Below are 25254 nucleotides of genomic sequence, written 5' to 3' on the forward strand. Positions count from 1 at the left end.
GGCCTCACAATCATGGAGGAAGGCAAAGGAGGAGAAAGGCACGTCTCACATGGCAGCAGGCAAGAGAGCATGTGCAGGGGAACTGCCCTTTATCAAACCATCAGATCCCATGAGACTTACTATCACGAGAGCAGCACGGGAAAAACCCACCCCATGATTCAATGACCTCCCACCAGGCCCCTCCCACAACACATGGGGATTATGGGAGTTGCAATTCAAGATGAGATTTGGGTGGGGACACAGCCAAACCATATCAGTGACAAAGTGAGACCCTGTCTCAAAAAACAAAACAAAACAAAAAGCCCTGTTTAGTTTTATTTCTGTACCTCACCAGCCCCTTATGGAGGCAGGTGGGACCTCCTGTGGCTTGGGCCAGAGGCCTGAGAGTCCTTCTTGACTTCTCTGTGTTCCTGTAAGCGGCACGTTCAGTCTGCCGGCAGGTCCACGTGGCTCCCCAGACACATCCTGAATCCGGCCCTCTCTCCCGTTACACTAGCACCTTTGTAGTGCCTGCCACCCCGTTCTTCCTCCTGTGACTGCTGCGGCTTCCCAACCTTAGAGTCTGTGAGAGGTGCAGCTGCCAGGCAGTCCTGGAAGGGTTCAGCCACATCCCGTCACCTTGCTGTCCTGACCCCTCACATTCGGGCAGAGCCCTCAAGACGGTCGGGGAAGCCCTGCCTGGGGCAGCAGTGGGCTGGAGAGGTGGCTGGGTTCTGCATCCTACATTCTTGATTCTTCCTGGCCTGGGTGTGGCGAGGAGCTGGCACCGCCTCCCTTCCCTCTGTGTCCTTTTCCCTTGCCACCCTGGCCATCTGTGGACGTCCACAGTCCTCTGCCTCGCCTGACGCTTAGCCTGCGGCACCGGCTCCCGCTTCCCTAGTCTGCAGTCTGCATCTTGTGGCACCTTCCCCGGCCCTGCCTCCACTGCCTGCCTTCCCTGGTGTTCTGGCACTGGTGGTCACTACCAGGTTGTCAGCTCCAGGAGGGCAGGGCCTCTGCCCAGCTCCTGGGTGGCTCAGTGTGTGGGAACGTGTAGGTGCCTGAGTGACCTTCCTGTGTGTCACTGGCCCTCGCCTGTCTTCCTCGCAGCTTCGGCCCTTTCAGATGCGTGTGCTGTGCAGCTAGACCCAGCTCCTGGCACCTTGGCCTGGTGGGCTTGTGCCTCAGGCCTTTGCTGGCTTCCTGGTGCTGGAGGCAGAGGCCAGCTGCCCGCATGCTATCTCCCGTGCGTGTTCCCTACCTCTTCACACCTCCCACCTGCAATGAGGATGGGGCTGGGACTGGCAAGACTCAGCCTGGACCGCGTTGGGCTTGGTCATCAGATCGAGCGTGGCCTGCTTTCTCGGTTAGGAGCTGGTGTGTGTGGCAGGGACCCGCTGGCGCAGAGCAGGGACTGTGCACTTGGCTGTTTCAGGGGGCAGATCGGGGAGCCTGGTGGTGGCAAGGCATCCACACAGAGACCCCCATGGCAGAGCATCCCCTCAGCTCAGTGTGCGGTGAAGAGAGTGGAGACGAGGACACACTGATCTGATCTCCTCCTGCCCTCCCACCTGTGGGAGCCCTGAGAGCTATCTGCAGAGGGCGGCCCCCAGGACCAGCATGCGGACACCAAGCCAGCGCTACATCGCCTTGTGTCCCCGGGTGAAGCTGTGGCTGCCCAAATGTCCCACGCGAGTTCTACTGACGCTTCCTCCTTTCGTTGCTAGAGCTGCCACGAAGGCCGCTGCCCGCTCATGCTGACCGAATGTCCCGCGTGCAAAGGCCTGGTCCGCCTTGGTGAAAAGGAGCGCCACCTGGAGCACGAGTGCCCGGAGAGAAGCCTGAGCTGCCGGCATTGCCGGGCACCCTGCTGCGGAGCAGACGTGAAGGTGCGTGGGGTGGAGCAGCAGCCTGTGTGGCTGCAGCCATGCGGGGCTGAGCTGGGGAGCTGCGTGCTGGCCACTGCGGCTGCGTCGGCCCCTTTGCACTCGTTCCACCCCCTCGGCCCTTTCCCTGGAGACACGCGGGCGGATGTTTCTTGGCAGAACTGGGAATGGGTGTGAAGTTAATGCCGAGGCCTTTCAAAAGCATTTTTGTAAGCCGGGCACGGCGGCTCACGCCTGTAATCCCAGCGCTTTGGGAGGCTGAGGCGGGCGGATCACGAGGTCCGGAGTTGAAGACCAGCCTGGCCAACATGGTGAAACCCCGTCTCTACTAAAAATGCAAAAAGTTAGCCAGGAGTGGCCAGGTGCGGCGGTTCATGCCTGTAATCCCAGCACTTTGGGAGGCCGAGGCGGGCAGATCACGAGGTCAGGAGCTCGAGACCATCCTGGCTAACATGGTGAAACCCTGTCTCTACTAAAAATACAAAAACAAAATTAGCTGGGCATGGTGGCGGGCGCCTGCAGTCCCAGCTACTCAGGAGGCTAAGGCGGGAGAATGGCGTGAACCCAGGAGGCGGAGCTTGCAGTGAGCCGAGATTGCGCCACTGCACTCCAGCCCAGGCGACAGAGCGAGATTCCGTCTCGGAAAAAAAAAAAAAAAAAAAAGCCAGGCACGGTGGCGAGTGCCTGTAATTCCAGCTACTCGGGAGGCTGAGGCAGGAGAATTGCTTGAACCCAGGAGGCAGAGGTTGCAGCGAGCCAAGACTGCACCACTGCACACTAGCCTGGGCAACAGAGGAAGACTCTGTCTCAAAAAAAAAAAAAAGAAAAAAAATTTTTAAAAAAAGTTTGTTTTTAGGACAAAAAAGCATTTTTGTCTTAGAAAAGTCTAAATGCATCAGGTAGAGAGTGCGGTGGTGGGTGTGCGTCCGTCCTCGCCAGGCCTGGGCTTTGCTCTCAAGACAGTTGCTCAAGTCTGACTTCGCCTTCCCCAAAGCGTTGGTGAGAATAGCGCCATGTCTGAGATGCAGCTGTGACTGCTCACATGGCCTGCAGCCTGTGTCTGCGTCCCTGTTGTCTGTCTTTGCCTTGGTGTATCTGAATCACGATCCATACAGGGTTCCTGCCTTTGGTGGAAATGTCTCTGGGTCTCTCTCTGCCTCTGGGGCCCATGGCATCTTTTTTCCTGGGCTCTTGTCCTTCAGGAGCCCCACTTCCCTGAGACCCATCTGCACTTCCCTGTAAACTGTCAGATGGACGGGCCTGACCATAGCACATCTGGGGTGCCAAGCCCTCCGCAGCAGCATGTCAGGGTCTGTCTTGGAGACGTCCCGCATGCCGCCAGCCCTGCCCATCCGCCAGGCCCTCCCACCGGCCTCGCCTCCCAGCGGGAGCAGCGTTTCCCCATCTTCACCGGGGCCGTTGTTTCACGTGGCTTCCAAATCTCCTCTGGTGGCTTGGGTCTCCCTCGCATTGCCCTGAGCTGGCAGAACAAACAAAGCGTTAAGATCTCCGAGGCTCCTGGGTGGTGCTGGCAGGATCCTGCCCGGGAGGAGCACTGTCCTTCGAGGCTGGAGGGTGACCACGTGCTCCTGCGGCCCCTCGGCGCTGCCCAGCCTGAGCACTGTGTGCCGCCCTCCACCCGCGCCTGGCATTGGCGTCCACCCTCACACTCCTGATCCCTTCTTTTGAAGGCGCACCACGAGGTCTGCCCCAAGTTCCCCTTAACTTGTGACGGCTGCGGCAAGAAGAAGATCCCCCGGGAGAAGGTGAGTGTCCTTCACCTCCTTGGAGGACCGCAGGGCGGGGCCCATGTGTTGGACGTGAGGGTCCCGTGGGTGGGGGTGGGGCAGGTTATGACCCTTGTGCCCAAAGGAACAGCAGTGCAAAGCCCCTGTAACGTTGGGTCATGGATGCGTTCAGGGTGGCGGCCGCTCTCCTGAGTGGGCCGGGGGCCAGGTGGCTGAGTCCCGAGCCCTCTTCCTCATCCTCCAGTGTACATAGCTGCTTACTTTTCAGCAGGTCACTTCCTAGTTATCCTGAAAATGAAACATTAAAGTTCTCATCGCCCTCCATGTGCTGCTTATGAGAAATGTTGTTACTGACTTTGAAGCTGAATGTTTGCAGCAAGCGGTTGGGGTGGAGACTGGGCGCCCTAGTCTGGTCTGCTGCCACAGCCGTGAAATGTGGGTGGCTCGCCTGGCAGAACTTTGTCCCTGGTGTCCTTACTTCTTTCAGGAAAATGGTTTCTCTCCCAGTTGAGAGTTAACTGCTGCAGATGACACCTTTAGGAAAGGAAGCTGGGAAATAATACGCATGGAAACATTTTCCCAAACTGCCTCCCTTGTTGGAGGTGTGAGGGTAGCTCATCCAGAGAGGCTGAAGCTCTGGAAGGGGCACCTGCTCTGTGTGTCAGAGGTCCAATGTGGAGGCCTCACAGGTGGCAGCCCCCATCTGGGCAGCTACAGGAGGGGTCAGGCTGGCCAGGCCTGCCCGCGGGCTCAGCCTGACAGGTGTGTGCCTGTCTTTCTGATTTGCTTCTGTTTAAATATAGGTCACAGCCCAAGTCCTGAAATGGGTAGGGCTGGGGGACGGGACAGGGCTGTCTCCTCACCTCTTTCCACTTGTCTGTTAAATGTCCCGCACTGTGAGCTTGGCCGAGTGCTGTCTGAAAGCATCCTTTCCCTTCACCTGGAGACTGGAGCGCCATAGAGGCTATGGCTGCTGCCATGCCCCCTTCAGAGGCCAGGACGCCTGCCTGGGGCCCGTGTCTGTGAGGCTGTGTCCCCTGCTGGTGGGGCCTGGAGGTGCCCCCGAGAGGTGCCCTCTGCGTGTGCCCCAGTCTGTGTCAGCCCTTGTCTGTCCTGAGGGGGTTGTACAGAGGAGTTAGGAGGTGATTCTTTCCTTGAGACTGTTTCCAGAGTGAAAGACGAAGACGGGCGCCCACGCAGCGCGGTGGTGTCTGGTGGGTTTTGTCCCCACCCATCACTGTGAACACGGGGCTTTCTCTGTGCATGGTGCATTTTCATCCTTCCCGTCTTTTTTTTTTTTTTTTTTTTGGAGACAGAGTTTCGCTCTTGTTGCCCAGGAGTGCAATGGTGTGATCTCGGCTCACTGCAACCTCTGCCTCCTGGGTTCAGGTGATTCTCCTGCCTCAGCTTCCCGAGTAGCTGGGATTGCAGGTATGCACCACCACACCCAGCTAATTTTGTATTTTCAGTAGAGATGGGGTTTCTCCATGTTGGTCAGTCTGGTTCTTGAACTCCCAACTTTAGGTGATCCACCTGCCTCAGCCTCCCAAAGTGCTGGGATTACAGGCGTGAGCCACTGCCCCAGCCCATTGCATCTTTATTTTGATGTTCACAGGGCCTCATCTTCAGACTGAGGGGCCTTTCAGGCTCTCTGAGAATGAATCTCTTGGGCCCCGCCTGCTTCCTCAGGGCAGTCCTGTCTAGGCATGGAACTCTGGCCCTTCAATGCAGGCCGACATATAGGGGCTGCATGTATGTGCAGGGTGTCCTGGGGCTGTCTGTGCCCCCTGGCCCGTTCCAGAGGAGAATGCTGAGAGTGCTCTCAGGTGTTTCTAATGTGTGTGGCGTGCTTGGGATTTTCTCTTATCTCTTTTTTTTTTTTTTTTTTTTTGAGATGGAGTCTCGCTCTGTCACCCAGGCTGGAGGGCAGTGGCGAGATCTCGGTTCACTGCAAGCTCCGCCTCCTGGGTTCACGCCATTCTCCTGCCTCAGCCTCCCGAGTAGCTGGGACTACAGGCGCCTGCCACCATGCCCGGCTAATTTTGTTTTTGTATTTTTAGTACAGATGGGGTTTCACCGTGTTGACCAGGATGGTGTCGATCTCCTGACCTCGTGATCTGCCCACCTCGGCTCCCAAAGTGCTGGGATTACAGGCGTGAGCCACTGCGTCTGGCCCTTTTTTTTTTTTTTTTTTTTTTTTTTTGGAGACAGAGTCTCACTCTGTCGTCAGGCTGGAAGTGCAGTGGCGCAATCTCGGCTCATTGCAACTTCTGCCTCCTGGGTTCAAGCAGTTCTCTGCCTCAGCCTCCTGAGTATCTGGGATTACTGGCACCTGCCACTCCACCTAGCTAATTTTTGTATTTTTAGTAGAGACAGGGTTTCACCATCTTGGCCAGGCTGGTCTTGAACTCCTGACCTGGTGGTCCACCCATCTCGGCCTCCCAAAGTACTGGGATTACAGGCGTGAGCCACTGTGCCTGGCCTCTCTTATCTTTTTTTAGTGTTGCAAATCTTGGTTCCTAACACTGGTAACGTATTTGTTTTATGTTATATATAGAGTAGGTTTAAAATTAAAAATACCTACTGAGCATGGTGGCTCACTCCTGTAATACCAGCATTTTAGGAGGCTGAGGCGGGAGGATCACTTGAGGCCAGTTCGAGACCAGCCTGGCCAACGTGGTGAAACTCCGTCTCTACTGAAAATACAAAAATTAGCTGGGCATGGTGGTGCACACCTGTAGTCCCAGCTCCTTGAGAGGCTGAGGTGCGAAAATTGCTTGAACCCAGGAGGTGGAGGTTGCAGTGAGCTGAGATCGCACCACTGCACTCCAGCCTGGGTGACAGAGTGAGAGCCTGTCTAAAAAAACAAGTCAAGGCCAGTTGTGGTGGCTCACATCTGCAATCCCAGCACTTTGGGAAGCCAAGGCAGGTGGATCACCTGAGGTCAGGAGATCAAAACCAGCCTGTCCAACATGGCAAAACCCCTTCTCTACTAAAAATACAAAAATTAGCCAGGTGTGGTGGCACAGGCACTCCTGTAATCCCAGCTACTTGGGAAGCTGAGACAGGAGAATCGCCTGAACCCGGGAGGCACAGGTTGCAGTCGCAGTGAGCCAAGATCGCGCCAGTGCGCTCCAGCCTGGGCCACAGAGTGAAACTCCATCTCAAAAAAAAACAATAAACAAAAACCAGCAACATGGCTTCTGATGATGAGGCCACTGATGATGAGGCCACCTGTTTCTTCGAAGCTCTTTTTGTTCTTGGAAGTACATCTTATGAAGATGTGGGGTCCACATACCATGTTCTTATTATAAAGGAATTTTTTTTTTTTTTTTTTTTTTGAGATGGAGTCTCTCTGCCGCCCAGGCTGGAGTGCAGTGGCGCAATCTCGGTTCACTGCAACCTCTGCCTCCTGGATTCAAGTGATTCTCCTGCCTCAGCGTCCCTAGTAGCTGGGATTACAGGTGCCCACCACCATGCCCGGCTAATTTTTTGTATTTTTAGTAGAGACGGGGTTTCACTATGTTGGCCAGGCTGGTCTCAAACTCCTGACCTCGTGATCCACCTGCCTCGGCCTCCCAAAGTGCTGGGATTACAAGTGTGAGCCACCGTGCCCGGCTACATACTATGTTCTGAGGTGAACTGGAATACATTTTTTCTTTGAGTTTATGTCAGCTGTGGTATATAGTTCATTTGCTTCAGGTTCTTTTAAAATGTGAGGGTTTTTTTTAAAGATTTGCTTTTGTTCTTTGACGATGTAAACTATTGGCCTGCTGTCTTATCAGTCAGAGCTGTGCAGAGGCACAGGCCCCATCTCATCCTCCCAGCCCCTCCTCTCCATCTTTGCTGGTTTTGCTGGAGCCTTTCTCGGTGACCATGCTCCCAGGGCTTGGTCGGGTTCCTCACCACTGCCTGGGACATGTGCAGGGCTGAGCCGAGCATGGGGCGGCGTATGTTGGGACCTGGTCCTTTGGAGGCTGACCTGTGGGGCTCGCTGGATAGGAGAAGTGGGCCTGGGCCTCATGGCCAAACAGCCCAGAAGCCTTGGCAGTGACGGACACCTCGTGTTTGATAAGGTGTTTGCCCCTTCATGGTGATGCTGGCAGGAACCACAGACGGGCAGTGTTTAGTGTTTCCTGGGGGCCTGGGGGTTGCCCTCCTGCCCTCACAGGAACCCTAGGGCACCCTTTATCAGATGAGGAAATTGAGGTTTACAGAGGCCAGGCGCCCAGCTGGCTTCCAGTTCCATGGACGGCCCTGCCGTGGGCAGCCTGGGGGACTTGTCTCCTCGCTTCCAGCAGTGCCTTCTCCCACACCTACCCTACCTGGGCGATCGCACCCCCCATTCCCAGCATGCTGCGCACATGCCAGGTTCCTGGCCTCTTCTCCTTCAGCTTCCTGTGGTGGAAATTTCTGAGCCTGGACAGATGAGAGAGAGCACATTAGAACTTGGGGCCCTGCTGTGGCTCAAGATGGGGGGTGCCCAGTGACAGTTCTGTTTCATTCCTGCCTCCACTTCTTCCCGCAGCCCAGTGTTTCATCCGAAAATACTTCAGTGACAGCAGAGGGATCCTTGCTTTATTTTAAGAGAAAATACATTGTGGGTTCACACGGATGTTTGCATTTCAGATTCTTACCCAACTTCCATGTTGCTGTCTCCTTTCTACAGAAAGTCGTGGTTCCTGTTGACATTGCTATACATAAGAACGGTGTCAGTAGCACTGAGTCTGATCCATGGCAAATTATGTGATGACGAAGTTCTCTTTCTAGTTCTCTTTGCTTTTAGAGTCTGTATTGAGTTGCTGTGTCATAAGTCATTCGAAGCAGCGTCTCTGGGCAGGCGGCTGTCTCAGTATTCCACGGAGGCCCATTTGTTTCATTTTGCTTTTGAGTTTTAAAGATTGCCCTTTAAAAAAAAAAAGGCCGGGTGCGGTGGCTCATGCCTGTTATCCCAGCACTTTGAAAGGCGGAGGCGAGCGGATCACCTGAGCTCAGGAGTTTGAGACCTGCCTGACCAAAATGCAGAAACCCCGTCTCTACTAAAAATACAAAATTAGCCGGGTGTGGTAGCGCATGCCTGTAATCCCAGCTACTCGGGAGGCTGAGGCAGGAGAATCACTTGAACCTGGGAGGCAGAGGTTGCGGTGAGCTGAAATCATGCCATTGTACTCCAGCCTGGGCAACAAGAGAGAAACTCCGTCTCAAAAAAAAGTTTTGTAATTTTGTAAAATGGTTACATGGCACCAAAGCGAAAACTACAAAAAAGGTGCATTCTGAGACGTCAGAGGGAAATGTGTCAGGCTCCCCGTCCGCAGCGCCGTGCGGTCGTTCAGAAATTTGCATTCCCATAAGCATTGTGGGAGCACCGTCTCCCGAGACTTGCCAGCACAGTGTGGTGTGAAGGTTGGACGTGCCACTGTGATGTGTGAGAAACACATCAGTCCTCTGTATCGGGGGTCCACGCCGTGGATCCAGCCAACCGTAGGTTGGAAATGTTCAGGTAAAAATGCACTGAACACGCGCGGACATTTTTTATTGACACAGCGTTCACGTTGTATTGGTCATGAGTCACCGAGAGCTGATTTCAGGTATGAGGGAGGGTGTGCTTAGGCTCTGTGCAAACACTCTGCCATCTTCCATCAGGGACTCGAGCATCCTTGGGTTTCAGGGACCCTGAGACCAACCTCCTATGGGTGGCAAGGGACAGCAGAGCCTCGAGGCGGTTCTGACGGGCGTTTCCCAAGCTGTGGTGTGACCGAGCCCATCTGTGCTTCTCTTGCTGTTCATGACTCCTGCCCACTGAATAGTGTTTTTGGTTTTTGTTTGTTTTGGGGGAAATTGTTCAAGGTTCTTATGTGACTGTTTCTGGAAACTGATTCACAGTTACGGCCGTTTCCCTCCTTCCGGGTATGAAATCTTGTGCTGCGTCTGGCATGTGTGGGTTTGGTTTTCTCACACTCAGAGCCGCGACACACCTGCCATGTCACCTGGGAAATGGAGGAGGAACTTGGGGTTCATGTTTTTCCTCGGGCTGTTCCTGCATCCATAGACCCATGTCAGATACCACAGTGTTAGTCTCTGTTTCTTCCCTGGTTCGATGTTCCTGTTGTATGTGAGTGTCTGTGTGCACTTGGCCCCTTTCTGGATTTTACGTTTTGCTTCATGTCGTGTCTGTGTCATCCTGTACCACCACGCACCGGGTGAGCAGTGGGCGTTTGATTCTGGGTTTTGAACCCAGGCCCTGAGGCCTCAGCACCGCATGTCCTGTGGACTGTGATAGAGGGACAGGCGTGCCATGTGACACACAAGCTGGGGTCTCCACAGGTGTCCCGAAATGCTTGCCCATCTCAGTTACTGGCACAGTGTGCATGTTTGCACGTGTGTGTGCACAGGTGTGTGAGCGTGTCGCTTTGGAAATGGGCTGTTGGGTTTCATTCAGTGTGAGAGTGAAGAGGCCAACGGGGCAGGTCATGTAACCTCTGTGTCAGTCAGTGTGGTCCATGTGGAAGTGCTGAAATGCATCAGAACAGAGAAAGATGGCTCTGTGACGTCACTCCCTTGTAGTTTCAGGACCACGTCAAGACTTGTGGCAAGTGTCGAGTCCCTTGCAGATTCCACGCCATCGGCTGCCTCGAGACGGTGAGTCGGGGGGTCTGAGGTTGGGGGCCACCCCTCATCCTGGGTGTGGTCTTCACTGCCTCCAGCCCAGTGCTTCCTGGTTTCCTTCCAGCTGCTCCTCAGCCACCTCTGCAGCACTGCCTCCTCCTGCCCCGGCTGTCCGAGTGTTCCCAGCTTGGTCTCTGGGCTGGCAGCCCTGTCCACTCCCTCCTGGTGGCATTGTAGTGCCTGGCTTTGACTGCCACCTGTCTCTGAGGATGCCCAGTGTGTGTGCCCACCTGTCGCCTTGAGCCTCCCTGGGTGTTGAGTGCACGTCTCAGATGTACCCGGCCGGCTCGCCACGACCACTCCTTGGCCGCTGTCTCCCTGCCCCCATCTCACACAGAAAAGGGCAGCACTCTAACCCAGCGGCTGTCGCTGAGCCCTCCGCCACCAGCAGGCACTCGGGCCCCTCCTCTCGCCTCATGCTTCACGTTCGGGCTGACAGAGGTCTCGTCTACCCTCAAATGGTCCCCCCAGCCGTCACTGCCCTGTCCACATCATCCTCATCTCTCACTGGGACCCAGGCTCAGGCGCTTATGGGACCCCCGTTCTTTTCCGTTCTGGCCTGTTCACAGATGGAAATCGATCACAGCTCTTCCTCATGGCTTCTCATTCAGAGTGGCCTGCTCCTGTGATCTTTCCCTCCCCTCAGCTATCTCCTCTGCCCTGCTCGCTGGCCTGAGCTTCCTTGGGCATGCCCACTTGTGCCCACCCCAGGCACTTGGGCACTGGCACAATGGCCAGGCGCCTGGGTCTCTCCAGGTGGACCCCCCTGCTCCACCCCTGCAGACTCTGCCCCTCTGTCGCCAGCACCTCGTGTCTTTGTCTCTTGTCCGTCTTGCCCTGTACAACAGGAGCCCCTTGAGGTCAGGACCCTCGAGGAGTACTGGGCCCAGAGGTGGTCCCCAGCTGAGGTGTGTGCCTGATGGATGGAGAGGGGCAGGCCGTGGGTGCAGACCCTCCCCTGGCCAGCTCACTGGGCGGGCACCTTCCTTGCTTGAAGACAGGGATGTCTTGACGGCATTTGTGGTAGAGTCAGTTGCTGACTTGATTCTATGTGGCCTTAGGTATTGTGTTTTTTTCCTAATGGTGAAAAGGAGCGTGGCTGCTTCCATTTTCTTTGTCTGCGTTGGATAGTCTTCTGCTGTCCGTGTTCTTGTCTGTTTCCTGCTCTGACGTGGCATCTGCCATCTCTAGGAAGCCCAGGCTTCCCGTGCGGGAGGTTGCGTAGTGACCACCCGGGCCTCAGTGGTGCTTGCTGCCGCCACCGTGCTCCTTGTTTCTGGGCCTCTTGGTGTTGAGAAATGAGAGAGAACACAGCGTGAGTCTGTGGCGATGCTCGCTTCCCGTTTGCACAAAGGATCTCCCCGTGCTGGCACACCCACCCCAGGCTCAGCCAGGGCCTGCTTTTTCCACGCCGCGCACAGCATGGTCCCAACAGCAGCACTCTCTGAGAAAATGCAGGGCGAGCTCTCGTCCAGCTGTTTGTGTCTTGAGTGCCCTTCTGCTCTCTGGGTGGTCATGCCTCTAGCTGGGTACACATGTAGGTCCATTTGTTTCTTTTACTGTAATTTTTTTAGAGTGTTTTGTTTATATATATATATATATATATATATATATATTTATTTAATTAATTAATTTATTTATTTTTGAGGTTGAGTCTTGCTTTGTCGCCCAGGCTGGAGTGCAGTGGCATGATCTCAGCTCACTGCAACCTCTGCCTCCCGGGTTCAAACAATTCTTGTGCCTCAGCCTCCCAAGTAGGTGATAAAAGGCCCAAGTAGCTGTGATCACAGCTGTGTGCCACCACACCCGGCTAATTTTTGTATTTTTAGTAGAGATGAGGTTTCACCATGTTGCCCAGGCTGGTCTCGAACTTCTGACCTCAAGTGATCCTCCTGCCTCAGCCTCCTAAAGTGCTGGGATTACAGGCATGACCGCGCCTGGCCTCATTTTCAAATTTTGTTGTGGAAATTTGAAAATAATTTAATTGCAAAGTCAAGTCTATAAAATGAGGTATGTTTAAGGAGGCCTAGCTTCCAGCCCTGTGTTTTCACCTTCCCCTGTGGGTGGCTTTTTATTTCTTATTTTATTTTGTTTTATTTCATTTTATTTTTGAGACAGAGTCTTGCTCTGTCACCCAGGCTGGAGTGCAGTGGCGCCATCTCGGCTCACTGCAGCCTCCACCTCCTGGGTTCAAGTACTCTCCTGCCTCAGCCTTCCGGGAAGCTGGGATTACAAGCACACACCACCAGGCCCAGCTAATTTTTGTATTTTTAGTAGAGATAGGGTTTTGCCATGTTGACCAGGCTAGTCTCAAACTCCTGACCTCAGGTGATCCGCCCACTTCAGCCTCCCAAAGTACTGGGATTACAGGTGTGAGCCACTGCACCTGGCCTATTTTAATATTTATTTATTTATTTATTTATTTATTTATTTTCGAAACAGAGTCTCGCTCTGTTGGCCAGGCTGGAAGTGCAGTGGCACCATCTCAGCTCACTACAGCCTCCCTCTCCTGGGTTCAAACTATTCTCATGCCTCAGTCTCCCGAGTAGCTGGAATTACAGACATGTGCCACCATGCCCAGCTAATTTTTGTAGCTTTACTAGAGACAGGGTTTCACCATGTTGCCCAGGCTTCTCTGGAACTTGTGGGTGGCTTTTTTTTTTTTTTTTTTTTGAGACAGAGTTTCGCTCTTGTTGCCCAGACTAGAGTACAGTGGCGCGATCTCGGCTCACCACAACCTCCACCTCCCGGGTTCAAACAGTTCTGCCTCAGCCTCCCAAGTAGCTGGGATTACAGGCGTGCACCACCACGCCCTGCTAATTTTGTATTTTTAGTAGAGACAGGGTTTCTCCATGTTGGTCAGGCTAGTCTCGAACTCCCGACCTCAGGTGATCCTCCCACCTTGGCCTCCCAAAGTGCTGGGATTACAGGCGGGAGCCACCATGCCCAGTCATGAGTAGCTTTTTTAAAATGGTGTGTTGCTTTTATTTTTCTTTTCTCTTCCTTTCTGTCCCTCCCCCTCCTTCTTTCCCTCCCCTTCTTCCCTTCATCCCTTCATCTCGTCCTGTCCCGTCCCTTTTTTCTTTTCTTCCAAACAGGGTTTTGCTGTGTCAGCCAGGCAGGGATGCAGTGGTATGATCTCGGCTCACTGCAGCGTCAACCTCCTGGGCTCAAGTGATCCTCCCACCTCAGCCTCCTGAGTAGCTGGAACCACTGGCACACACCACCATGCCCAGCTAATTTTTAAAAATTTTTTGTAGACGTGGGGTTTTGCCATGTTGCCCCAGCTAGTCTCCAACTCCTGGGCCCAAATGATCCTCCCGCTTTGGCCTTCTGAAGTGCTGGAATCACAGTTGCTAGCTACTGTGCCTGGCTGCAACTAAGTTCTATAGCTTCACGTTCTTTAAACACACCTGACTTTCAGTCTGTCATACACAAGAAGGATCAGCCATGACCAGGCCACCCAGGCATCCCTATCTATGACCCTGGCCTGTCTCCTCAGCTCAGCTGAGGCCCACGTCTTGGTGGCCGTCCCCGGGTGGGAGCCGAATGGTGGATGGAGCCAGCAGCCTCCCTGCCCTGTGTCCGCAGGTAGAGGGTGAGAAACAGCAGGAGCACGAGGTGCAGTGGCTGCGGGAGCACCTGGCCATGCTACTGAGCTCGGTGCTGGAGGCAAAGCCCCTCTTGGGAGACCAGAGCCACGCGGGGTCAGAGCTCCTGCAGAGGTGCGAGAGCCTGGAGAAGAAGACGGCCACTTTTGAGAACATTGTCTGCGTCCTGAACCGGGAGGTGGAGAGGGTGGCCATGACTGCCGAGGCCTGCAGCCGGCAGCACCGGCTGGACCAAGACAAGATTGAAGCCCTGAGTAGCAAGGTTTGTGCCTGCCGGGTGGCCAGCCATGAGGAGGACAGTGTAAAGGGGGATAGTGTTCGTGCCCCAGCAGGTTCTAGCAGGTCCTGGAGCTTTAGAGCCCGGACAATGTAGAACTCCATCTGCAAACCCCAGTCCAGTGTGGTTTAGGGGAGGCTCTGGCCCCCTTCATTTCTGAGTCCTGTCATCTAAGGGGCCCAAACCCTGGAAGGTCCTAGAGGCCAGGCCGTGGGCAGGAGCCTCTTCTCTCTGATGGGAGGGCAGAGTCAGCCATGGATGGGGATGTGCATGGCCTGGTGTGGCTTCTGAGCACGCTTGCTGGCCCGGAGCTTCTGTGTGGACTTGGAGCCACCACCTCTTGGCGAGGGTGGGGTTGGGTTCTTGTGTGCAGGGAGTGGACATGAGAAACATGGAGCCCAGGGGTGCCCAAGAGCACTGTCCTGCTGGAGATCGGTGGGTGTGGGAGGCAGGGGCTCGTGCCCGCACCCCTCCTGTAAGAGGGAAGGTGGTCTTGGCACCCGGCAGGTGCAGCAGCTGGAGAGGAGCATTGGCCTCAAGGACCTGGCGATGGCTGACTTGGAGCAGAAGGTCTTGGAGATGGAGGCATCCACCTACGATGGGGTCTTCATCTGGAAGATCTCAGACTTCGCCAGGAAGCGCCAGGAAGCTGTGGCTGGCCGCATACCCGCCATCTTCTCCCCAGGTGTGGTTCTAGGACCCCCACCTCACTGCAGCTGCTGTTTACTTGGCACCTGGGTCCCCTCACCCCTGTGACCACATAGGATGGCTCCCAAGGGTGGGGCTGGGATACGACCCCCAGTGATACCGGGAGCAGCTACACCTCCCTGAGTGGCAAGTGGGGTAGCTGAATATGGGCTGGCCGGTGGGTGCCCTCGGGCAGGGGTCGGGGTAGGGGGGTTGGGCCGGCTGCCCTCCTGCCGTGCCAGCCCTCGAGGTGTGCCCCTCGTCACCCACAGCCTGGTCCTCTGGCACACAGCCCTAAAGCAGACATTACATCAACAGGCTCTCCTGCCTGATCACAGCTCCCAGGAAGACAGGGCGGGTGGGGGTGGCTGTGGGGGTGGGACATGGCTCTCAGGGCCTTGGAGCTGAGCTAGTCTGATCCCTCCCAGGTTCATTTTCCACACGGAGCTCAGGGAGGGTGTTTCTCACACTCCCCCACCTTTTTTTTTTTTAAACCCCAACTATGGGGTCTCTTGAGAGGGTGCTCGTGGGGTCTCCCCTGGAGGGCACTGCTGGAGAGGGGGTGGGGTGGTGGCTGCCCAGCTGCAGGCTCCTGCCAGGACTGTGCTTCTGGGCGCTGCAGTCCAGAGGCGGCCCCCCTGCTGTCCCTCGAGGCCCTGGCTGACCTTGTGGCGGCCCCAGCCATCATCTCGGCCCCAACTCAGTCACTCCCTTCTTGGGCTTTGTTGCCATGGCTCAGAACACGCCCTCGTGCAGACTTTATTTTTAGGCTGAGTTGGTGAACCTGCTGATAGAATCTTAGGTTCTAGGATCAAGGCCGAGATGCTGTAGGCACCTTTCCTGTTTGAATTTAGCCTGGCACTGCTCGTGAAACTCAGCACTGGGGGCCATGGCAGTCCTGTGCTCTGGCGCCCTCGAGGCGGAAAGAGACCCAAGCGTCATCTGGAGGGGCCGCCACATTGTGTGGTGCCTGCTGCCAAGGCCTTCAGCAGGGACCAGAAACAAAACTCACACTCTTTCTTCTCTGAGTTGAGACTGGAAAAATGAAAGATTGTTTTAGGGGAAACTTGAGGGAACAGTCTGGGCAGCCTGCAGGGCATGGCCCTGTTCCTCCAGGGCTGGGAAAGTCAGCACTGCTTTCTGGTGGCGACCTTCCCTCTGCAGCTGCTGGCTCAGCCGATTGTATATGCTGGGAGCTCTGCACTAAGCGTTGGGTGAAGGGTCAGCATTGTGGAGGCCCTGCCACGGAGGTGGTCTTCTTGGGAGCTGCACTCAGGCAAGAGGACCTGTTTGTGTGGAACATCTGCTTTAAGCAATGCTGGTGAACACAGCTTGTGTGCGGCACGCGTGCAGGCTGAGGACAGGCAGAATGGGCCTGGGGGCACGGTGGAGGACGAGGATGGGGAGGATGGGCCTGGGGGCACGGTGGAGGACGAGGATGGGGAGGATGGGCCTGGGGGCGTGTGGAGGACAGGGATGGGGAGGATGGGCCTGGGCACGTGGTGGAGGACGGGGACGGGGAGGATGGGCCTGGGCATGTGGTGGAGGACTAGGACGGGGGGAGGATGGGCCTGGGGGCATGTGGAGGACGAGGATGGGGAGGATGGGTCTGGGGGCACGTGGTGGAGGACGAGGATGGGGAGGATGGGCCTGGGGGCACGAGGTGGAGAGGACTAGGACAGGGAGGATGGGCTTGGGGGCACGCGGTGGAGGACGAGGATGGGGAGGATGGGCCTGGGGGCACGCGGTGGAGGACGAGGACGGAAGGGTGGTCCTGGTGCTGCCACAGTGGGGTCCCTGCGTGCAGACCTTTGCACACAGTGTTCTGTCATGTGACTTGGAAAGCAGCCTCTGCCGGGTTCTGGCTGTCACTCACGTCTGTGTCTTGTTGGGTGGGAAGGAAGTCGACTCTTCTTGTTTTGGGGTTCACTCTAGCCAGTGCCTCTTCTGAGGCAGGCTTGGGGCCCAACCTAAGCCCTGGGCCGGTCAGGGCTCCCTCTGTGGCTCTGCCGAGGTCCCAACCACTGCATTTAGTGGATCTCGCCATGTGGCTCTGCTCATCTTCTTAAGTTTTGGGGGTTACATTTGGGATTCTTAGAAATGCTTTTTCTGGCTGGGCACAGTGGCTCACACCTGTAATCCCAGCACTTTGTGAGGCCAACACGTGTGGATCGCCTGAGGGCAGGAGTTTGAGACCATCCTGGCCAACATGGTAAAACCCCATCTCTACTAAAAATACAAAAATTAGCCAGGTGTGGTGTCGAGCGTCTGTAATCTCAGCTACTCAGGAGGCTGAGGCAGGAGAATCGCTTGATCCCAGGAGGTGGAGGTTGCAGTGAGCTGAGATTGCGCCACTGCACTCAGCCTGGGCAACAAGAGTGAGACTCCATCTCAAAAAAAAAAAAAAAAAAAAAAAAACTTTTTCTAAGTACTACCTTTTTTTTTGTAATGAAATTTGTTTTCATTGGAAACTAACTGCATAGTTTGAGGGAAAAAAAACTTTTCTTTGCACCCCAGAACCTGAATGTTTCTTTGTAGGTGTTTTTGTCCCTGGGGGAGGGCAGCCAGGCAGGAAGAGCCCTGCCCCGCCCTTGCTGAGTGTCAGCTCACCAGGCACCCCTCCTGCCTCCCCAGCCTTCTACACCAGCAGGTACGGCTACAAGATGTGTCTGCGTATCTACCTGAACGGCGACGGCACCGGGCGAGGAACACACCTGTCCCTCTTCTTTGTGGTGATGAAGGGCCCGAATGACGCCCTGCTGCGGTGGCCCTTCAACCAGAAGGTGAGGCCGTCCCTGCAGGCTTCGCTAGGGCCGCACCTGGGAGTCCCTCTGGGCAGTGCAGCTTCTGTGGTGCAGGGTTGTGCGGGACAAGGTGGCTTGGGCTCGCTGGACCAGGTGTCTGCAGCAGGCACGTCACCCTGTGATGCTGTGTCACGCGGTGGAGAGCTCTGGCAGTTTGTTGTTTCCATGATTTCTGAGCACTGGTCCGTGACACAAGCACCTGGCTTCCTGACCTGTCAGATAAATATAAATATGACTAAGAAAAAGCACAAGGCCGAGTGGGCGGGGAGTATGTATCCCTGTGATCCCAGCACTTTGGGAGGCTGAGGTGGGAGGATTGCTTGAACCCAGGAGTTTGAGATCAGCCTGGGCAACATAGTGAGAACCCATGTCTACAAAAAAAATAGAAAAATTAGCCGGGCATGGTGGTGTGCACCTGTATTCCCAGCTATTCGGGAGGCTAAGGCAGGAGCATTGCTTGAGCCCAGTAGGTTGAGGCTGCAGTGAGCCGAGATCACGCTACTGCACTGCAGCCTGGGCAACAGAGCAAGAGGGGGCTCTAAATAAATGAACAAAAGGACAAAGCACAAAATAATGCAAGTTTGGGGGTGCCCAGCTTTAGCCCAGGACTCCAGATGTTGATGGGCATCTGGACCAGTAGTTTGAAAACCCTGCCCTGGAGAGAGAGTGCAGAGGAAGGAACACAGCTTCGGAGCCCTCTTCGTCGGAGGTGTCATTTATTTATTTACTTATTGTTAAGACGGAGTCTTGCTCTGTCGCCCAGGCTGGAGTGCAGTGGCATGATCTCGGCTCACTGCAACCTCCCCTCCTGGGTTCAAGCGATTCTCCTGCCTCAGCCTCCTGAGTAGCTGGGACTACAGGCATGCACCACCACGCCCAGCTAATTTTTGTATTTTTAGTAGAGATGGGGTTTCTCCATGTTGGCCAGGCTGGTCTTGATCTCCTGACCTTGTGATCCGCCCACCTTGGCCTCCCAAAGTGCTGGGATTGTAGGCGTGAGCCACTGTGCCTGGCCTATTTTGAAAATCAGAATCTATTATTTTGTGGAATTGAAGATGCAGAGACTAGACTGGAATGAGAGAAGGTCCCTTCCTTTTGCCACAGTTGGCCCAGACTTGCTACTTCCCCCACCCCCTATAGCTAGTGGAGTAGGCAGAGCAGAGTTGGGTGGGGGAGGGGGTGTGGAGGGCCCACAGGCCCTTGTCTGTCCTGGGGCATCCAGGTTCACAGTCCTGACAGAGGCAGACTCAGGTTCTCCCTGAAAAGTGCTCTTCACGAGTGGGCAGTGGGTGCTTCATGATCTCTTTGGCAAGAAAATGTCTTTGCCAGATGTGTTATTTTTTGCATTTTCCTAATAATAATTCAAGTTCAGGAGTGGTAAGCTTTAGTCTAGGACTCCAGATGTCAGTGGACAGGAAAGGCCAGAATGGACACAGATTCCCCAGAGAGAAGCGGAATGCCGGTGGCTGGGGAGGGCTGGGGAGCCCGGGCGCTGTGGCAGGAGCAAGGCCGCCCACCACGTGGTCTCGGCTGGGCCTCAGCCTCTGGCCTGGGTCCTGGGATGGCCTCCTGCTGGTGGCCCTGCCAGTGTCCAGACCCTCGGGAGCCAGAGAGAGACGGCCCACAGACCTGTGTCCCCTCCCTGGGGCTCTCTCCTCCAGGTGACCTTAATGCTGCTCGACCAGAATAACCGGGAGCACGTGATTGACGCCTTCAGGCCCGACGTGACTTCATCCTCTTTTCAGAGGCCAGTCAACGACATGAACATCGCAAGCGGCTGCCCCCTCTTCTGCCCCGTCTCCAAGATGGAGGCAAAGAATTCCTACGTGCGGGACGATGCCATCTTCATCAAGGCCATTGTGGACCTGACAGGGCTCTAACTGCCCCCTACTGGTGTCTGGGGGTTGGGGGCAGCCAGGCACAGCCGGCTCACGGAGGGGCCACCACGCTGGGCCAGGGTCTCACTGTACAAGTGGGCAGGGGCCGCGCTTGGGCGCTTGGGAGGGTGTCGGCCTGCAGCCAAGTTCACTGTCACGGGGGAAGGAGCCACCAGCCAGTCCTCAGATTTCAGAGACTGCGGAGGGGCTTGGCAGACGGTCTTAGCCAAGGGCTGTGGTGGCATTGGCCGAGGGTCTTCGGGTGCTTCCCAGCACAAGCTGCCCTTGCTGTCCTGTGCAGTGAAGGGAGAGGCCCTGGGTGGGGGACACTCAGAGTGGGAGCACATCCCAGCAGTGCCCATGTAGCAGGAGCACAGTGGATGGCCTTGTGTCCCTCGGGCATGACAGGCAGAAACGAGGGCTGCTCCAGGAGAAGGGCCTCCTGCTGGCCAGAGCAAGGAAGGCTGAGCAGCTTGGTTCTCCCCTCTGGCCCCTGGAGAGAAGGGAGCATTCCTAGACCCCTGGGTGCTTGTCTGCACAGAGCTCTGGTCTGTGCCACCTTGGCCAGGCTGGCTGTGGGAGAGGGTCTGGTCCCACGCCGCCTCTGCTCAGACCACTGTGTGGGAGGTGCACAGCACAGCCTGCGGGTAAAGTGTGAGAGCTTGCCATCCAGCTCACGAAGACAGAGTTATTAAACCATTCAAATCTCTGTGGTCAGTGGCATCCATTTGATTCCAGGTTGCCTGCGGCTTCCAGCCTTGGCAGTGGTGACCCTCTGCGGGTCCTCCTGGCCTCTCCTCTCACAGACCCCTCCCCACGGGGTGCCTAGCCCCTGCCTGCTTCTCTAGCTAGCCAGGCTGTGTTCTCTGTTCCTCACCTGATGTAAGCTCCCTCTTCTCGAGCCTTGTTCCCTCTTCTGGAATGTTCTTCCCTGTCCATCTCCTCTCCTGGGCCTCCCCAGGGACTCCTGTGAGAGCAGAATGAGGATGAGCCAGCCCTGGTCCTGCCTTTCTGTGCACAGGCTCCACCGAGCATCCTGGCTGCACCCGGGGGGTCCTGGCCACACCGAGGGTCCTGGCTGCACCGCCCCTGTGGTGTGTTTTTGGGACAGTGCAGGCAGGCGTAGGCACGGCTTCACACTCGGTGTCAGGGCAGCCGTGCTGGGACCTACTGGGCATCTGTATCGGGGTCCAGGATAAAGTGCTGTCCCCTCTCGACGTCTTCACGCACTGCTGTAGTTTGAGAAGTTGACCACAGAAAAGTACAGAAAATAACTCAGGCACGGAGCTGACCGACGGGCATTGTCTGTGTTCCGTGAGTGTGTACTGGGCCTAAAGAGCAAGCATTGCAGAGCCCTGCTGTTCCCTTTCCCGGCCTCACCTCAGCTCCCCAGGCCACGTGGCGGGAATTGAGGCGTTCCGGTTCTCTTTGGGCTTTAGAATTTTGCATCTGTACGTTTCTGTATTCACAAATAAGAATATTGCATTAAAAATGCAGAAACCATCCACTGGGTCAGCTGCAGGTAGCTGGGCTTTTGACTCAGCCTGGCTACTTTTAATGCATCTTGTGCTGGGCACTCTACATGGTGGATTCTGACTGCCGTGTGTGAGTTCCCTAGAGAGCACCTTCCAGTCTCTTCCCGTGTCTTCAGGGTTTGGTGACTGGAGATAGCCAGACCTGCTCTCGTGGGTCTCCTGTCAACCTGGAAGGAGGGTTGGTGGTTTCTAGGCCTCCCCTTTTTAGCAGTTGCCAGCTTGCTTTGCAGAGGGGCTGCATCCGGTCCTTCCACCAGCACCAGGGGGAGGGTTCCCATCACTCCCATCCCTCCCATCCCTGCCCGTGCTTCGTGTTGTTGGAATTGAGATGCTGCAGCGTGCTGTGTGTGAAGTGAAGTGGCATCGCTGTCACGTGCGTTTCTCTGATGACTCGGCGGAGTCAGGCGTCTTTACCACGCTTACCTCTCCCTTGGATTCTCTCCCGTGCGAATTGCCTGTTGATGTCTTTTTCTCATTTTTCTTCTGGTTGTTGGTCTGGGTCTTATTCTGCTGGTTGGTAGGAGTTCCTGATATTCCTGATTACGGATTCTCGGTTGTGTCTTTGAACTGCGTTTCTGTTGCTCCTGATGTGCAGAAGCTTAAGCCTTACACATGATCAGCTGATCTTATCCTTTATGAATGGTGCTATTTCCGACCGACTCAGAACATCCTGACCTTCCCTGAGGCTGGAAACCACTGTCATGTTTTCGTCTAATGATTGTGAAGTTTTGTCTTTAACATACTGGGCTTCTATATTTGGGGATTTGTTTGTATGTGACAGGTTTTGCTGGGTCACTGCAGTTTGTTAAAACAGATTGATTGAGGTCATCTCTTCTCACTTAAAACGAAATGGAACTGTGAAATGAGAGGAATGGACCAAAAAAAAATCCTCCCCCAGGGACAAAGATGGGGAAGAAGCCAACATCCCACAAAGGATTTGAACCCATTTTGGAAGGTGGGAAGTGGGTTGGTGGGTGGCTGCTGAGCAGAAGAGGGCTGAGGGGGAAGCTGGCCACACCGGGAGGCCCTGGCATGGAGCAGAGTCTAAAAGTGGATCAACTGAAAGACGGGGCAGAGCAGCTACCTTGGAGGTCCTTTGCCAGAGCAGCCGGATGGTCCTCCTGGCCCTCACCTCCCTGCAGTGGAGATGGAGGTCTGGAGAACCTGGGGAAGAGCTGAGGACCGCACCCCCCACGCAGTGAGAGCAGCATCGGGCTCCAGGCTGCAGAAGGGGCAGAGGTCTGCACTCGGAACAATTCCCTAGGCACTGGCTGCCACACCAAGAGGCTCCCACGAAGCAGACCAAGGCCCTTGAGGGACAAAATGCTCTGGAGCAGCCCCGTGGGCAGGCCTGGCCCAGCCGCCTCATGGCCTTCTGGGGAAGTGACAGGCTCTGTGCAAACCCACAGAGGTACCATCGTCACTACCTAATTTTGGGACATTTCATCACCCTGCAGAGAAACCTTCCCTTAGCAGTCACTGTTCCCTCCCGCTCAGCCCCTGACAGCCAGCCATAAACCTACCTTCTGTCTCTATAGATTTGCCTACTCAGGACATTCATGTGAATGTGGCCTTTGCTTTTACTCAGCAAGATATTTTCATGGTTCCTGTGTGTTGCAGCATGCATTGGAGTTTCATTCCTTCTAATGGCTGAATAATCTCTTGTATGGATGCACCACACCTTATTTATCCATTCATCCGTTGCTGGACATTTGGGTGGTTTCTACTTTTTGGCTACTCTGAAAATGCTGCTGTGAACATTTGTGAACAAGTTTTTATGGGGACGTGTATTTGTTTTCATTTCTCTTGAATATTTATACCGAGGAGTAGAGCTGCTGGGCCGCTTGTTCAGCTCTTGGAGGAATTGCCGAACTTTTGTGTCACCTTACATCTCCCTCAGGAAGTGTTTTTTTTTTTTTTTTTTTTTTTTGAGACGGAATCTCGTTCTGTCTTCCTGGCTGGAATACAATGGCACAATCTCGGCTCACTGCAGCCTCCGCCTCCCAGGTTCAAGCAATTCTCCTGCCTCAGCTTCCTGAGTAGCTGGGATTACAGCTGTGAGCCACCACGCCTGGCTAATTTTTGTATTTTTAGTAGAGACAGGGCTTTACCATGTTGGCCAGGCTGGTCTCGAACTGCTGACCTCAGGTGATCTGCCCACCTCAGCCTCCCAAAGTGCTGGGATTGCAGGTGTTGCACCTGGCCCCTAATAACATTTTTAAATTTCACGTAGTAAAATTGATTTGTTCTTTTGTTTTGTTCATGGAACATTCAATTCCATGGATGTTCACACCTGTGCAGATGTGGGTAAGCACCATACCTGGGAGACAGGCGAGCCCTGCCATCTCAGAAGACTGTTCCACTTTCCCCATAGTCACCACCCCGACCCGTGGCAGCCACACACCTGTCCTCCACCACTGTAGTTATGTCTTTCCAAGAAGGTCCCATAATGGAGTCCTACAATGCGTGGCTGGGAGCAGCGAGATCTGCAGAACGCCGCTGAGACTGATCAGGATGCGTGCATCAGCATTTGTTTTCTCTCTTTTTTTTTTGTTTTTTTTGGAGTAGTGCTCTATGGATGGATCAGTTTGTCTCGTCACCTGTTGAAGGGTGTTTGGGTTGTTTCTAATGTTTTGCAGGTCTGAATAGAGCTGCTATAAACATTTGTGTACAGGTTGTTGAGCAAGTTTTTATTTCATTAAGGTAGTTAGCAGTGGGGCTGCTGGATCACACAGTAAGTGTATTTTTAAATTCAAAAGAAACTGCCAAGCACTTTCCAGAATAGCTGTAGCCTGTTGTGGAATGCCAGCATGAGCCACAGTTCCCGCTGCTCCACATCCTTGTGGGCACTTTGTGTTGTCAGCATTCTTTTTTAATTTCTTTTTAAGATATAGGGTCTTGCTCTGTCACCCAGGCTGGAGCGCAATGGCGCAGTCCTACCTCACTGCAGCCTCAAACCCCTGAGCTCCAGTGATCCTCCCACCTAGGCCTCCCAAGTAGCTGCGACTACAGGTTCACACCATCGTGCTCAGCTTATTTTCTTTAATTTTTGTAGAGACAGAATATCACTATGTTGCCCAGGGTGGTCTCAGACTCCTGGTCTCACACTGTCCTGTCTTGGACTCCCAAAGTGCTGGGATTATAGGCATGTGTCACTGTACCTGGCCAAACTTTATTCTTGTTTCTCTTTTTCTTTTTTTCCTTTTTCCTCCCTCCCTCCTTCCTTTTTTCTTTTCGTTTTCTTTTCTCTTTTTTTTCGTTTGCCCTGCCCTGCCCTTTTTTTTTTTTTTTTTTTTTTTTTTTTTTTAAAGACAGTCACAGTCTCGTTCTGTTGCCTAGGCTGGAGTGCAGTGGTACAAATCCTACCTCACTGCACCCTCGAGACCTCAGGCTCAAGCAGGTCTTCCCACCTCAAGCATCCCAAGTAGCTGGGACCACAGGCACACCACCACACTCGGTTAATTTTTTAAATTTTTAGTAGAGATAGAGTTTTTTTTTTTTTTTTTTTTTTTTTTTTTTTTTTGAGACAGACTCTCGCTCTGTCACCAGACTGGAGTACAGTGACCCATCTTGGCTCACTGCAACCTCTGACTCCTTGGTTCAAGCGATTCTCCTGCCCCAGCCTTCCAAGTATTTGGGATTACAGGTGCATGCCACCACACCCAGGTAATTTTTTTGTATTTTTAGTAGAGTCGGGGTTTCACCATGTTGGCCAGTATGGTCTCGATCTTCTGACCTCAGATCTGCCTACCTCGACCTCCCAGAGTGCTGGGATTACAGGCATGAGCCACTGCACCCAGCCGGAGACAGGGTCTCTCTGTTGTCCAGGCTGGCCTGAAACTCCTGGGCTCAAGTGATCCGCCTGCCTCAGCTTCCCAAAGTGATGGGATTACAGGCATTAGCCACCACGCCCAGCCAGTTGTTGTTTTTCAGAATTGTTTTCCCTATTTTTGTTTGTTTGACAGTACATATATATTTCACAGTCAACTACAAAAAAATTCTGGGATTTTGATTGGAATTGCGTTAAGTCTACACATCAGTTTGGGGAGAATTGACATCTGTGTTGAGTCAGACAATCCATGAACATAGTCTATCTCTATTCTTTATCAGCGTTTTGTAGTATTTCATATGTATGTTGAACTGGCTGGAATGCAGTGGCATGATCGCAGCTCACTGTGGCTTTG

General features: G+C 54.4%; 1 protein-coding gene across 5 annotated transcripts in view; it reads left to right on the forward strand.

Annotated features, from left to right (window-relative positions):
• The window catches only part of TRAF2 (TNF receptor associated factor 2), a 44650-nt gene extending 24406 nt beyond the window's left edge, over positions 1 to 20244 (forward strand). For all 5 annotated transcript variants that reach the window (XM_011518976.4, XM_011518977.3, NM_021138.4 and 2 more), the window contains 7 exons: positions 1707 to 1868; positions 3557 to 3631; positions 10178 to 10252; positions 13871 to 14152; positions 14675 to 14852; positions 17489 to 17637; positions 19320 to 20244. In XM_011518976.4, coding sequence (XP_011517278.1) covers positions 1707 to 1868; positions 3557 to 3631; positions 10178 to 10252; positions 13871 to 14152; positions 14675 to 14852; positions 17489 to 17637; positions 19320 to 19538 — 1140 coding nt within the window. In that variant the 3' untranslated portion in view covers positions 19539 to 20244. The remainder of the gene's footprint in view (positions 1 to 1706; positions 1869 to 3556; positions 3632 to 10177; positions 10253 to 13870; positions 14153 to 14674; positions 14853 to 17488; positions 17638 to 19319) is intronic.
• Positions 20245 to 25254: the final 5010 nt, after the last annotated feature.

This window comes from Homo sapiens, chromosome 9 (genome assembly GCF_000001405.40).
Source record: "Homo sapiens chromosome 9, GRCh38.p14 Primary Assembly".
NCBI lineage: Eukaryota > Metazoa > Chordata > Mammalia > Primates > Hominidae > Homo > Homo sapiens.